The 16,192-nt window shown below is 41.0% G+C and overlaps 1 protein-coding gene and 1 long non-coding RNA gene across 2 annotated transcripts in view; one reads left to right on the top strand and one right to left on the bottom strand.

Moving 5' to 3' along the window:
• The window catches only part of DDIT4L-AS1 (DDIT4L antisense RNA 1), a 25,473-nt gene extending 13,444 nt beyond the window's left edge, over positions 1–12,029 (bottom strand). Inside the window, exons 1-4 of the long non-coding RNA NR_125924.1 lie at positions 11,988–12,029; positions 9,013–9,096; positions 8,220–8,316; positions 8,063–8,139 (exon numbers count right to left, since the gene is read on the bottom strand). This is a non-coding gene — a long non-coding RNA (DDIT4L antisense RNA 1). The remainder of the gene's footprint in view (positions 1–8,062; positions 8,140–8,219; positions 8,317–9,012; positions 9,097–11,987) is intronic.
• On the top strand, positions 11,594–16,192 carry DDIT4L (DNA damage inducible transcript 4 like). Its single transcript, NM_145244.4, has 3 exons — positions 11,594–11,759; positions 12,030–12,169; positions 13,895–16,192. Exons 2-3 carry the CDS (start codon positions 12,079–12,081, stop codon positions 14,383–14,385), a joined length of 582 nt encoding a protein of 193 aa, NP_660287.1. The 5' UTR covers positions 11,594–11,759; positions 12,030–12,078; the 3' UTR covers positions 14,386–16,192.

Raw genomic sequence — 16,192 nt, 5'->3', positions numbered from 1 at the left:
GGTGGTGGTTACATGACAGTGTGGACCATTCAAAATTCATTGAATTCTATACTAAGAAAAATGAATTTTAGCATACTTAAATTATATCTCAATAAACTTGACCTACAAGATTAATAGCTCCCACTTACTGAGTACTCTTCCCAAGAATTTTCCAATCCTCCTATATATACGAAGTACACTCTAGTCTCCTCTTTTTAAAATGAAGTGACAACGATCTTAAATAGTGTTGTCCTGCATTTCTTTCTTTCTCTCTTTTTTCTTTTTAAGACAGATTTTCACTCTGTTGACCAGGCTGGAATGCAGTGGCACAATCTCAGCTCACTGCAACCTCTGCCTCCCAGGTTCAAGTGATTCTTGTGCCTCAGCCTCCCGAGTAGCTAGGATTAGAGGCACATGCCACCACGTCTGGCTAATTTTTTTGTATTTTTAGTAGAGACAGGGATTGACCATGTTGGCCAAGCTGGTCTCGAACTCCTGACCTCAAGTGATCCACCCGCCTCAGCCTCCCAAAGTGCTTGGATCACAGGCGTGAGCCACTGTGCCCAGCCCTTGTCCTGTATTTCTTAGTGTGAGCCTCATATTAAATTTTGAATATTCTAATAGCCACGTTTTTGAGTCACTGAATCAGGTGAAATTAATTTTATCGATATATTTTATTTAACCCAACATATAAAAAATCTTATTTCAACATGTAACCAATATAAAAATTATTAATGTGATATTTTACATTCTTCATGTTTGACTAAATCTTCAAAAATCTGGTGTGTATTTTCTACATCTCACTTTGGACTGGTCACATTTTAAAGTGCTCAATCACAAATGTATCTGTACCTGTCGGATTGGATGGAGCTGACCTAGAACGTTTTCCAAAGCTGCGTTTGAACTTCTGCTCTCCCTGCCCTACACTCTATAGTAACATCCACAAACATTTGATGAACGGAATTGCACCTAACTCAATATTCTACTGTGGGCTATAACAAAGTCATAATTCTACTGAGGTTAAAAAGAAGGAAATATTATTTAACTATCTGAAATTGAAATTGAATTACTGGCAACTTGTAAGTTTTATATTAAAGAATATTTTCTCTTTTTGACAAAAATTCTTTCCTCAACAGACAGCAAAAAGACTGACTTAAATGAACACCAATGTCCCCGCATAACAACAAAACAGCTGATTGATGACTTAGTGTAGTGTGGTTGAAAAAAAACAATATTTTTGGTGCCTGAGCTGACCAACCGGTGAATTTATAATGGCCTTTGTAGATACAGTCTTAAGGCTTTCCCCAAAAGTAGAACTCAGGAAGAAAATGATACATTTCTAATTTTGCCTGAAAGTTATGATTAATGATTTACATTTATAGTTTCCCCTTTTAAAAATTATGATAATATCTCTTCTAGCTAGTATGAGAGAAATTACAACTCCTAACCAACAGGTTTCTAGAACATATTTAAACTGTATAAAAAGGTATAGCAGATGAATGAATGAATGTTGAAGAGAATAAAGAAACAAAAGTTCTCATACTTTATTGGTGGGTGCCCAAAACTGTACAATTCCTATGAAGGATAATTTATCAAGATCTATCAAAACTATATTTAGCATATTTATCCTTTAATGCAGAAATCTCTCCTCTAAAAATTTAATTTCATTTCTAAATCAGAGAACTGTTTATAGATAGACATTATAAAGACATAACTCTTGTAGGCAATTATGCAGGTGGAATCTAACAAGTGTAACAATAAAAATTACTTTTAAAATAATAATTCTTATGCTTTTATCTTCCTCTTAAACAATCCAGAGAAAGTGTTACAGAAGCAAGTCCAGAAAACTAAAAAATGAAATAAAATAATAAAGTTAGTAAAGGATTTACTTCAAATTTCTAAACTAATAGCCAATTTGTAAATTTCAAAATTGAAAACGGTTCCCTGATTTAGAAAATACAAAAATATTCCTGATTTATGGAGTTTTCATATTAACTATTTAAAAACAGAACACATGAAAACCATATACATATAGGTTTCATTGTAGGCAGCAATCTTTCAATAATGGATAAACTAAAAATGTGCTGTGTATGGAACTCGTGTTGACTGTAGACACTAAAAGCAGGGCTTCCAAGAATGCTGCCTTAAATTGAATAGAAAGAAAAATGTTAAAATATATTTTTCAGAAGTACAACTACAGCTATGCTGGTAGATAGATAGAGTATCAATCTTAGTCCCCAGACTGAATTGGCAATAAAGCAACATTACTGCTTCATGTTTGCTATTTAACTTAATTTCTGATATTTACCCTTCATTCAGCTGAGGAATAGATACTTTAATGTCACTCATTCTTTGCCCTTACCATCCTTATCCTCCTATCCCACAGATCCAATACACATGTCAAGGGTTTCAAATCCTGTGCAATGTTGAGGTTTCAGGAGAGGGGCAGGGATGGAGACTGTACTCTCCAGTCATTGATCACGCAAAGGTTACAGCTAAGATGTTCATCACCTGTGCCCTCAGCATCCCATCTGATCTGGCTATTTTCTTCTGCTCCATATGGCTCTTGGGGAAAAACAGGAATCTTCTCCAAATAGGAACTCTGTCCAGTCCTCCTAGACATAGCCATAAAGTAAGGCCCTGGTCTCTACTGCTTTGAAATCCATAGATAAATCTCTCCTCCAGCCTGGGTGAATCTCTTTTTAGTTTCTTACTACATCCAGGAAATTCTGTTGACACATCCTGTCCAAAGTCAGAGACCAAGTTAATATAAAAGCTGTATTTGGGGACAGGTCTCCTGATTCTCCAGCATGTGCACTCTTTATTATACATCATGTGCACACTAAAATCTACAACCATTGGAGAAGTCTATCACACCATTTGATGAATTATTTAATACAGTTGAATTTTGTGCATTTACAGAAACAAACTTATATAGCCATGAGTGTCTAGGATGACCACCTTTGACTTAGCTCTTAATATATACCAGTTGCATTGCTAGAAACTTAACATGTATTGTATCATTGAATCTTCCATATTACAGATGAGGAGGCTGAAATTCAAAGGATTTCAGTTGATTTCACAATGTGCCCACTCATGACAAAACCAGAATTTGAAGGCAAGTTTGAGTTAGAGCCCAAAGTCAAACCATTAAGGTATACTACTCTGTTACATATTCAGAGGTGAGGCCTGTTTTATAAGCCTCACAAGCTACCTGCAAAGGTAATTATGTGATGCTATAAATTAAGTACCATTTATTGCTCAATTTAGATATGATGCATCAATAATGTCACAAAACTGAATGTACTTCAGCACGCTTATAGCTAATATTGACATCCCCTGAAAGGCTTCTTCAGCAATTTACAATTTAGCTCTTCTACCACAATAGATAACATCTACAAAAATAGTTCCCAATTACCAGCACAATATTTCAAAAACTAAGTCAGTGTTTTAAAACATATTTTATGATACAATTACAGCAGAAGAAATGAATACATACATAACTTTATTTATCCTCTGTAGTAAATTTGGAAGTAATAAGATATATCTTTCTGTGTTACTCTCTTCCTTCTAAATTTGTGGTTTCCAAATGCAACTTTCCATAGACCAATTACTTTAAATACATTTTATTATATAAGCCCCTTCCTTGTGTTATATTATAGGCTTCCATTCCATCAAGGTTGAATATAATTCAGGGTTTGATAATGTCTCAACTTTATTAAAACAGGACTTAATTTTTACATAATACAGTCTTCTCTGAAAACCAGACTGTTTTCACATAGCTGTGTGTGGTCTGTGAGCCAGGCCCAGGAGCTAAAAACCACACAGGATGGATTATTTTCATTACAGCCATTATATCTGACTTAAGCTATGGAGAATCAACAAACACTTACCAGCTGAGATTCTATCCACCTTGCATCAAGGCCTTGCACATAGTAGGTACTCAAGAAATATTTTTTCTTAATTGGCCAAGAAATAGCTTTGCAAGTGCTTAGATTGTCTTACGGTTTTGTTCATTGTCTTTAACTAAAATCTGTTTTAATTGCATACAATATGCATCACCTAAAAATCTTACTAAAAAGCAGATTCTGTTTCCAGTAGTGTAGGGTGAGGCCTGAGATTTTGCATTTCTTACACTCTCCCAAGAGATGCCTATGCTTTTGGTCCGTGATACACATGATGAGCAGCAAGGTTATAAATCTTATTTCAAAACACATTAGTGTTTATATCATTGTGCTCCTGGAGCACCCTGTACCTCCCCTAACTTTATCACACTATTTATAATCTTGTATTTATTTGCCTATATAGCTTTCTAAACTATAATCTGTCTGGTGATGGGCACCAAACGTATCTGGTTTCCTGTTGTGTTCTCAGGGCCTAACATAATTAATACACAACAAATAGTTACTGAATGTCAGTTGACCAAATGAATGATTATGTACAAGACATACTTTTATACACACTCTTGATCATATGTAAATACTCCTCTAGCTACCTGTTCATTAAAAATGTCACCATGACTTTGAGAATTTTTCAAGGTCAGAGTAAAATCATCATTCTGATCATGGCTAACTTTTATTGAGTACATTATGCATTCACTCATTGAATCCCCACAACAGCCCTGTAAGGTAAAATTATTATAATTCTCATTTTATTTATTTAGTGTAGTTTTTAAAATTTTTTTAGTTGACAAATAATAATTATACATTTTCATGCGGTACACAGTAATGTTGCAACACATAAAATGTATAGTGATCAAATTGGGGTAATTACCATATCCCACTAATCATATTCATCATTTCTCTGTGTTGGGAAAATATTCATTATTTCTCTGTGTTGGGAACATTCAATATCCTCCTTCTAGCTATTTAAAACACCGTATTATTGTTAACTATAGTCACCCTACAGTGGAAGAAACACTAGAACTGATTCCTCTTACCTAGCTATAATTTTGTATCCTTTAACACAGGGGTCTCCAACCGTCAGGCCACGGACCAGTGAGAGGTGACAGCGTGCTGGCAGTCCTCACAGCCCTCGCTCGCTCTCAGCGCCTCCTCTGCCTGGGCTCCCACTTTGGCGGCACTTGAGGAGCCCTTCAGCCCACCGCTGCACTGTGGGAGCCCTTTTCTGGGCTGGCCAAGGCCCGAGCCAGCTCCCTCAGCTTGCAGGGAGGTGTGGAGGGAGAGGCGCGAGCGGGAACCGGGACTGCGCACTGCGCTTGGGGGCCAGCTGGAGTTCCGGGTGGGCGTGGGCTTGGCCGGCCCGGCACTAGGAGCAGCCGGCCGGCCCTGCCGGCTCCGGGCAATGAGGGGCTTAGCACCCGGGCCAGCGGCTGCAGAGGGTGTACTGGGTCCCCCAGCAGTGCCAGCCCACCGGCACTGCACTCGATTTCTCACCAGGCCTTAGCTGCCTTCCCGCGGAGCAGGGCTCAGGACCTGCAGCCGGCCATGCCTCTGCCTCCCACCCCCTCCATGGGCTCCTGTGCAGCCCGAGCCTCGCCGATGAGCGCCGCCCCCTGCTCCACGGCGCCCAGTCCTATCGACCACCCAAGGGCTGAGGAGTGTGGGCGCACGGTGCGGGACTGGCAGGCAGCTCCACCTGCAGCCCTGGTTCGGGATCCACTGGGTGAAGCCAGCTGGCCTCCTGAATCTGATGGGGACATGGAGAACCTTTATGTCTAGCTCAGGGATTGTAAATACACCAATGGGCACTCTGTATCTAGCTCAAGGTTTGTAAATACACCAATCAGCACCCTGTGTCTAGCTCAGGGTTTGTGAATACACCAATTGACACTCTGTATCTAGCTATTCTGGTGGGGCCTTGGAGAACCTTTGTGTGGACACTCTGTGTCTAGCTAATCTGGTGGGGAGGTGGAGAACCTTTGTGTCTAGCTCAGGGATTGTAAACGCACCAATCAGCACCCTGTCAAAACAGACCACTAGACTCTACCAATCAGCAGGATGTGGGTGGGGCCAGATAAGAGAATAAAAGCAGGCTGCCCCAGCCAGCAGTGGTAACCCGCTCGGGTCACCTTCCACACTGTGGAAGCGTTGTTCTTTTACTCTTTGCAATAACTCTTGCTGCTGCTCACTCTTTGGGTCCACTGCTTTTATGAGCTGTAACACTCACCGCGAAAGTCTGCAGCTTCACTCCTGAAGCCAGCAAGACCAGGAGCCCACCGGGAGGAATTAACAACTCCAGGCGCGCCGCCTTAAGAGCTGTAACATTCACCGCAAAGGTCCGCGGCTTCATTCCTGAGCCAGCGAGACCACGAACACACCAGAAGGAAGAAACTCCGAACATATCCGAACATCAGAAGGAACAAACACCAGACACGCCACCTTAAGAGCTGTAACACTCACTTCGAAGGTCTGCGGCTTCATTCCTGAGCCAGCGAGACCACGAACCCACCAGAAGGAAGAAACTCCGACATCCGAACATCAGAAGGAACAAACTCCAGACACGCCACCTTAAGAGCTGTAACACTCACTTCGAAGGTCTGCTGCTTCATTCCTGAGCCAGCGAGACCACGAACCCACCAGAAGGAAGAAACTCCGACATCCGAACATCAGAAGGAACAAACTCCAGACACACCACCTTAAGAGCTGTAACACTCACTGCGAGGGTCCGCGGCTTCATTCTTGAAGTCAGGGAGACCAAGAACCCACCAATTCCGGACAGACCAGTACCAGTCCATGGCCTGTTAGAAACTGGGTGCAAAGCAGGAAGGGAGCAGTGGGTGGGCAAGGAACAAAGCTTCATCTGTATTTACAGCTGCTACCCATTGCCTGCATTCCCACCTGAGTTCTGCCTCAGCTGCAACATTAGATTCTCATAGGAGCATGAACCCTTTGTGAACTGCCTGTGAGGGATCTAGGTTACCCATTCCTCATGAGAATGTAACTAATGCCTGTTGATCTGAAGTGGAACAGTTTCATCCCCAAAACATCTGCATCCTCAACTGAGGAAAAATTCTCTTCCACAAACAAGTCCCTGGTGCCAAAAAGGTTGGGGACTGCTGCTTTAACACATCTCTCCCTCTCACTTCCTTCTCCGTAATTCCCATTTTAAAGGTGAAAATAGAGGCACAGAAATGTTAAGTACCTAATCCAAGTTACACAGCTAGTAAATGTCACTGCTAGGAGTTAGGCTGCACAGTTCATGCACTAACTACTACACCATGAAGATGAAAAAACTGAATCATTCTGGACTAGTCAAATTTCTTAACCTTAATGTGCTTTAAATCTGCAGAATGGAGATCAGATCCCATTCTAAAAAGTACCCTGCAGAATTCCATATCTAGTCGACACTCAGGCATTCTCAGATTTAATTCTCTTCTTAAGCAACCCCACAGGTTTATGTCATGAAGTAATGTGTAATTTTGCTAGGATACAAATGTCAATGACAAAAGCTGTGCAAGGCTGGCCCACCAAAATAGGACACTTGGTTGATACAGGAAGGGAAACCAGTAAGGAACCCAACATTGACATGAGCATGTAGCTTTATTTTCCTCATCTCCTGGTGCACATTAAAATTCCAGAAAAAATGGTATGGCATAGTGGTATTCTCAAATTTGGAACTTGTAAAAGTTTTAAGATGTATCGCTAGACAAATGTCAAGGACCCACTCCATGTTCCTGGCTGACATCCTCTGATATGGTCACCTGAATTATACATTTTTCCATAATTAAGGAAAAGCAGATATTGTATGCATTTAAACATATTATCTCTATTTAAAGACTGATAATACACAGCATTGTTTATGAAGAGAACAAAATCATATAACTATATTAAGAGACAAGTTGCTATGGTAACCATTTCTCTGCTTAAAAAGAGAGGCAAACCCTTGTGTTATTGGAAGATTCTCTCAGCTTTTAATAGCAAGCATTATGTATTATTTTATGTATTGGGCCTGCTTTTTGTCTTATACGAGATAAGTTTCCATGTTACCTTACTTAACAGAATAAGTCATATTGAATATTTAATAATTAAATGGAAATTGTATTGGGTGATGCACCCTCAAAGGCAAATAAAAATTATGATTAAATATCTCACCGAGTATGTTAACAGATGATCACACATACCTTGAAACAACTGCGTCATTCTATAGTCAATAGTTTCAATTGTCTGTAGATGTTATTTATTTCCAGAAAACTATTTCCTAGATTAATAGAGGAAAGTTAACATATAAAACTCTGTATTTTACACCAAGATAATTTTTTACCCACATTATTTTCTTACGTTTCATTGGCAGATCCTTTCCTGCTTTCCCATACAGTGATGGATGTATTATAATAAAAAAGGCTTTCCTAATCAGTGCCAATACTTTCCAGATTTCCTGCAAACAGGAAAGATCATAAATTTTCTTATACTTTAACAACACTTCCCCAACTCCATTTAGCCACTTGCTTGTTGCACTGACCCAGATAACTACAATTTCAGAACATAATAACAGCAATAATAATAATATCACTCATTAAGTTCTTGCCTAATATCAGTATTAGTTTGGTTCTAAGCACTTTGCATGAGACACCAAATTTACAAACTTAGCACAACTAAGGGAATCTAGAGGCAGTGTGCATTTAAAGATCTCATATTTGTTTATAAAAAAGAGATAATATTTAGCATTGATTTTAAGGGTTTCTCTTTTAATCCTTACAATAACCCCATGAGCTTACTGCTAATGTATAGATCAATTTCCATGTCCTGTAAGTTTTCCCTGAATTGCACAGATTAAGAAACTCAGTAACTTTCCCTCAGGTGTCATAGTTTATGAAATAAAATAAGCTATGTGTGGAACGTAAATGTATTAATAAGATTCAAAAATAAGTGTTCATACCAAATAAAGACAGAAAATTGGCTAGTGAAACACGTAATGAACATTCAACACTCCAAATCACAAATGCAAAAGACACCAACATTTCCTGTAATAATACATGAAAGCATCATTTTTGCTTTTTGTTTTTTCAGTATCCCTGGCATTGTGAATTTATACTTTACATAAGCAATGACATTATGAATACTATATTTATACCTGAGGAAGCCTAGAACTTAAATATTTGCAAATACATCAGATGAACATATGGTTGCCAGTTGTTACTGCTATCTCATTTTCTTTCTGTAAGAAGATGGATTAGTGAATTATAGTAATAAAAAAGCAAGCATGCTTAAGTTAAAGCCTTTGCCTATGATTTAGATAGTTTCTTATAATACATTGGTGTATGAAAGGAAATCAAATTATTTAACTGACTAGATTTTCTATTCATACACAACTATTTCCAGTAAGCACTCCCACAAACTGTTTATATAGTATTAGTTAGAGGATATAATGAAAGAGCAATAAAACAAACTTCTTTATCACTGCACTTAATAAACACCTGAAGTTCCCCAATGCGAACTTTCAGTTATAAATAATTGACTGTATCCACATTTTTCTGAAATCTGATAGACTGTGTCACCTTGCACTTAGCCTATAATGGCACTTAGTTTTTCCTAATTCTTCTCTATGCTTCAAATTTTTAAAAAATCAGTTCTGTTTAACCTTGTGAAGATGCAAACTGGTGATAGAATGGATTTTCTACGCTTTTAAGTAGATAAAAAAGGACATTCTTAATTATTCCAGGTATGTGTTTTACCTCAATCATTCCTTATGCCCTGTATGTCCTGAGAGCAAGGCCCATTCAGCCAAGAAGATATTATTTGAAGTCTTTTGTACATAAGTAAATTGTTTTCTGAAGTCAAATCCCAAAGGGCTTTGCAAAATTTCATTTAGTCAGGTGGGCCAAGAGCAACTACTACTTTCTGTAAGTTCCAATAATCTTTCTGGCCCTATGGGGGCATTTACTCTATGAATTATGCCTAAATACCCTAAGGAAATTGAAACGAGTAATTTCTTTATTTCGCTAGTATTGGTTCAGACCACTCATTATATTAATTCTAAAAATCCTCCTTGGAGGCAGGTTAAGTGGCAGCCTCATTAGTAATGCTGCCCAGACAAGGACAAGAGGCTCTGTGGCCTGCCCAGGGACTGACTGTCAGGCGGCTGGCATCCAACTCCTGACCATGGGCCCATCCATTGGTCCTGAACACCCTAGCCACTGAAACCGCTTTTTAATTGGCTTAAATGGGCTTGTTTATTTTCCACTTTTCTGTTTATTGAAGTAGAAGTGGAAACTGGCCTTCAAAGACCAGTCTATCAGCATCTCCTTCCTTGGCTCGCCTGACCTTCAGGCAGTGCAGCTGCCTGAACTGAGTTAAAAATGGACTGTCAAGCTGGCTTTAATTTCTGCTGCTCTGCGTCCGAATGTCCTCCCACTGATCTGTTTATCACACCCTCTATACCCCTTCTGTTGTTGTTTTTCTAAGAGTTTTATGCCAGGACAGCTGAAACTGCCTTTCAAGGTTCTAACCTGCAAATCCTTCTACACATAATCCTAGAGGGCCTGGGAGCCAACACTGGGATCTCTACTGTAGGAACAACCTTCTCCCTCCAGGCATCCCCTAACGCACCCCAAGCTGACTCTCTGAACAGATCATCTCCTACTGGCACACCAAAGCGAGAAAACCGTGGCTTAATAACTTTGGAAGAAAAAAATCAGGTTTGGCTTCTTGCTCATGGGCTATGCGGGCATGTTGCCTCTTTCCAGGGCTCCTCTGCCTCTCTGTGTGTTCCTGTGCAGGACCGCACGGAGCCCTCACAGGGATTATCTGCTGATCCCCAGCAGAATATAAAACTCTTTATCTTCAGTCTCTGAAACCTCTTCAAAATATCCCAAACCAAAGATCCTCCCAACAGGGCTCGCCAGAAACTTCTGCCTCCGGAAATGACAGTTGCTCTCGATGCACGGATAGAGGAGTACCTAAGATCCTACTAATGGTATTGTGTGTTTCTTGGCAAACTCCCGCTCAATTCAAGCTCCCCGCGCTCTGGGGCAAGGTCTAATTAGAAGAGTGCCAGGCTCACCCTTCCTGCGAAGAAAACGCATTAGCCACAGATGTAAGTGCACGAAGAATGCCAGGGAGCCACGGAGTGCGTGGGGTCATTAAGGCCCTTCTTAAAATGCTGGCGAGCCTTCGATGCGGGAAAGGAAAACTAGATCTGACCGCTTGCAGCAGAGGAGGATACAGAAACCCTGGGAGGCAGAGTAGAGTTGACTGGGTTAGAGGCCAGAAATAAGTGCATAAATGATGCTCAGTGGACGTTGCAACAGATTTAAGCCAAGTGTTCAGGATGACACAGCAAAGCCCCAGGACAAGGAAATGCACAGATCGCTTAAAGCTTCCCGCTGCCGGGAGCAGCCTGAGTGTGAAAGCGCGGACGCTCGGGGAGGGGTCGCACTGAACAATCAGGTTCAGGCTTTGACGAGTCGTGCACCCGGAATTGCGGTCCCAGTGGCCCGAGATCTACCCTGGAAGCAACAGGTGTCCGCTCTACCACAGGCTTATCCTCAACTCCCTGTGGCTAGGCTCGGGCTCCCTGGAAGTGTAGAGGTTGAAAGGGGACCAGACTCTGGAGGGGAGGGGCGGGGCGCTGGCCGGGGAGGGGCGGTGCAGGTGGGCGGGCCTGAGCAGGGTGGGGACTGGACCTATAAAGTTCTCGCTGCCCCGGAGGCTATGCTACTGCGAGGAGCCGGCGCAGGGTGGCCCGGGAGGGGTGAGCAGGGTGCCGCTGGCTGCTGGGGTCTGCAGGTCACCGAGTCCCCAGGAGAGGGGACTCCTAAGAAGCCACCTGCCTGTGTTTACCCGGCAGCGAGCGCGCAGGCCCCCGCGAACTCCTGGCAGGTGAGCGAAGCTGCGGCCTTGGTGGGGGCAGCGGGGCCGGGGGGCGCTCCGCGGGGCAGGTCGCTTCCAAGTTTTGCGAACTGTTGAGTTAGTTTCAGGTTGCGGCTCCGCTCCCAGGGCTTTGTCAAATTGAGTTGCAGAGGCCGGTTCCACCCCTTTGGCAAAGGAGTTCCTCCGCTAGTTCGCTCCCGGGACGCCGGGCATTTTAGGAGCCTCTGCACGACTCGCCTGCTTTTGCAAATCCGTCTCTTCTCGCCTCATTTTTTCCAGCGCTCAGGAAAGGCCGTTGCGCCTCGCGAAGGAAACAGAGCCGTTGACCATGGTTGCAACTGGCAGTTTGAGCAGCAAGAACCCGGCCAGCATTTCAGAATTGCTGGACTGTGGCTATCACCCAGAGAGCCTGCTAAGTGGTGAGTGTCCCCGCTGTCCACCCTTCTCCCCTCCCAAGGTCGGTGCCTCTGGATCTATTGGGTGGGCGGGCTTTCGACTTCCTCCCCTACCTCTATGTAGGAGGTGCCACAAAATCCATCTGAGGAGACTCCTTTCCAAATTTTCTAACATCTTCTCTCCATGATAGAAACAAAAGTAGCAAAAGTAGAATACCCGAGGGCTGCATCTTTCTAGTCTGGTGCCAGTAGGCCCCTTGGGATTAAGTTCCTTATCTTACATGATTGTGAAGAACACAGTTATGTGTGTTTTAGCAAATGTATTTACCCTGTAATCAATATCGCCCCTCCCCCTGAATTCCGACGCACCTATTTGCCAGGTATTCCTCACTCTCCCCTGACTCCAGGGAACTACTGATCTGATTTTTATCATTCCAAGTTAGTTTTGCCTTTAGGTAAGTGGAACCATACAGTAGGTATTCTTTTGTGTCTGGTTTCTTTCCCGCAGCCTAATGTTTTTGAGATTCTTTTATGTCCGTTGCTTAAATCAGTGTGTTCGTGTTTATTGTTTATTACTGAGTAGGATTTTCAGTCGTGGATATATCCATTATTCCATTTTTAATGTGAGAAGGAAACTGTTGAACAGCAGCGGTGCTTGACTTGCTGTCATTTGGAATTTTAACAGCAGTTTCTAGGTGAACACACTGCTCTGACACTAAAGAGCTGTAAGAGCATAGATAAACTGCTTAAGCTCTTCGTGTTTTTCTCCTTTCAAGGTGAAGTGGTTGATGACCTAATTTACAGGCCAGAACTCCAAACTTACACGAAGTGGAGAGGAAAAGCCAGTGGCTGATGAAGGTGGAGTAGGCTTAGAGAGAGGAGCTGGGAGGGCATCTGCCTGCACCTTGTTCATTTGACTCCGTGTGGTGTGGCATCCTGCCAAGGGGTAGGATTAATTTGAGGTGTAGGTGACCAAATGCAGAGCTATCTCTTTTCCTTTGAGCCCAGCTAATTTTATTTCCCTAGGACTATTTTGTTTTGCTTGGCTAAGAAAAACCACCCAGCCGGTTACAAATATCCTCATGAACCTCAAAGGTCTTCTCTGCACAATTTTTAATTAAAGAGGCTAAAGCTAAAATTGGGACCTACAGGCCACTCCAGTAAAGACTTAAAGACACAAATTTGATAGATCTTTAATATAACTCTTAAAGCTTTAATACAACTCTTCAAACATAATAGTAAAAATTCTTTATTTTACAATACATGTATTCCTACAGTTAGAAAGTAACAACCCCTTAGTCCAAAAAACAAAGTTATAACTTTTTATTCCAGAAGTAATGCATGTTTTCTGTAAAACAAAATTAGAAAACCCCCATAAGCAAGTAGGAGAAAAGAAAAGAAAATCACCAATAATCTGGGATAATCACAAGTAGATTTTTGATGCATAGTCTTCACGGTTGTGTGTGTGTTTTGTGTACACACATAAATTTAAAGAAAAGTGGTTACATCCTATCTACTCTATTTATCTAAACCTTTATTTCATACATGAACTTTCATTCATGAGAGCTTAAATTATTCGCTATATTACCTAGCTAGTTAACAGTTAATTGAGGTCAGCTGACTCTGAAACAAATACAAGAAAAAGGCAGACATGGTAGATAGAGGTAACCAATGTTGATATCTTGGTGTTTTTTTTCTACTCTTAAATTTTTTCTTCTGTATCTAAAAAGAAAACTCCATTTCTTACAGATTTTGACTACTGGGATTATGTTGTTCCTGAACCCAACCTCAACGAGGTAATATTTGAGGAATCAACTTGCCAGAATTTGGTTAAAATGCTGGAGAACTGTCTGTCCAAATCAAAGCAAACTAAACTTGGTTGCTCAAAGGTCCTTGTCCCTGAGAAACTGACCCAGAGAATTGCTCAAGATGTCCTGCGGCTTTCCTCAACGGAGCCCTGCGGCTTGCGAGGTTGTGTTATGCACGTGAACTTGGAAATTGAAAATGTATGTAAAAAGCTGGATAGGATTGTGTGTGATTCTAGCGTCGTACCTACTTTTGAGCTTACACTTGTGTTTAAGCAGGAGAACTGCTCATGGACTAGCTTCAGGGACTTTTTCTTTAGTAGAGGTCGCTTCTCCTCTGGTTTCAGGAGAACTCTGATCCTCAGCTCAGGATTTCGACTTGTTAAGAAAAAACTTTACTCACTGATTGGAACAACAGTGATTGAAGGGTCCTAAAAAGGGAAAATATATAAAGATTATTTCATGATTGGGTAGTAAAACTATTCAGCTAGTCAGCTAAAGTCATTTGTAGTTTGCCCCACCTGCCCTAAATAAGAAACCCCAAATGTAGTCTCTTTTCTTTCTGTGTTTCACATTCATAGCAACTGCAGCTAACAGGCTGATTTTCTGGCCTTTGGAGAAGTGATTCAAAATAGTGTAGATTTTCTGCATAGATCCCATTTTTGTACAGAATTGAATGGGATGGAATAGGTAAGCAAAAGTAGAAGCCCATTTGAGTTTTACATTTGATTCCACAATTTGGTTTCAGGTAGGCTTGGTAATAGACTATATAAACCAGATTTGCCTATTTTGATTTTCATATGGCTTTTTTTTCTGTAAGTTTTCAGAGGATTTTTTAAATCACAGAATCATACTAAATGATATTTAGCCTATCAAAACTTCCAAAAGCCCACACCACCAGTTCCTGACTCAAATTTGAAGGGTTTTTAGACAGGAGGGTAGGATTAAGTAGGTGAGTTTAATTAAAGCTTAACCCTAGGTAAGAGTAAATGAGAAATATTACGGCAATAATGGAACTGCTTCACTGTTTCTTGGTGACTTCCTCACTCTAATGTTTTAAAGAGGCAACAAAAGCTTGTGGTGCCATTTCAGTAACCACGGTGTTGTTTTAGATGCCTTTATAAGCTCAGTTTCCCCTGTTCTTAAGTGTTGAATACTGTCTTTAAACTAGAAAAATGCAAAATATTGAACTGATATTTTTGTGTGTAGTTGATTACTCTTCCATTGAGTGAATGATGAATACCTGTGAGGATAGGAAATTAGTTCTGAGATCTAGTCCCTCTCTGATTCACTTAGTAATCTATCCTCTTTTCAGTATTACATGTGCTTAATCTCAGATGAACCATTTCACCATGGCAGTGTTATCTCATCTCTGGGCTTTTCTGGGAATTGAAGTATCTCTCCTTAACCCCAATTGTCAAGGGTAGTAGCTGTATACTACCACTTTGAATTATTGAAACGGGTCAATTTACGAAGTCTGCATTGGCTATGGAGATATGGTTTATAGTACAGCCTAGAGAATGAAACTCACCGTCCAGATAACCATGCATGCACCCAGATTTTTTCCACCTTGGATACCTGTCACTAGGGAATAATAAAGGCCTGATTTTTTGTCTTATTCCAACTAAGTAGATCATTATCTCTTTCCTTTTTTATGTTAATGAGAGAATTTAGCCTCCACTCAACAATGTTCAATTCAGCAAGGCTTTCATATCCTTGCTGTGGGTCGTGGATAAGGAGCTTATTCAGGTTTCCTGCCCTAGCTATTAGCTCCACTTCACATGCTGGAGACCGGCGTAGGGACAGATGTATTCATCCTGGTGTTACTGAAAAACAGGTGTGATCCTGTTACTGATACTATAAGTGACCTAAAATGTCACTGTTCAAATTAGCCAGTGTTCTAACAAACTAAACTCTTCAAATGCTTGGAAAGATACTACAAAGCCAATCTTTATAGAATTGGGCCAAGATAAATCTATGTTGTTTTGCATGGCTATTGTTAAGCTCCAAAGGTTCACTGTGTTTCTGCCGCTGTCCTGGAGTTGTCACCACTGACTGGGCAAGGCTTCTTGGGCATGGATGTAGAACTGTTGTCCTTTTCCCACTAACAGTTATCTTTGACTCTCTTGCCTGTTATGCTTACAAAATGGTGATGGCTTATGGAAGGCTGTTAAATTAATATTCCTGTTAAAGGAAATTAAAGTTTGTCTATTTTTGACAATAAAACATTATATATTTTTAA

This window comes from Homo sapiens, chromosome 4 (genome assembly GCF_000001405.40).
Source record: "Homo sapiens chromosome 4, GRCh38.p14 Primary Assembly".
Classification (NCBI taxonomy): Eukaryota; Metazoa; Chordata; class Mammalia; order Primates; family Hominidae; genus Homo; species Homo sapiens.
This window is presented reverse-complemented; position numbering and strand designations above follow the sequence as displayed.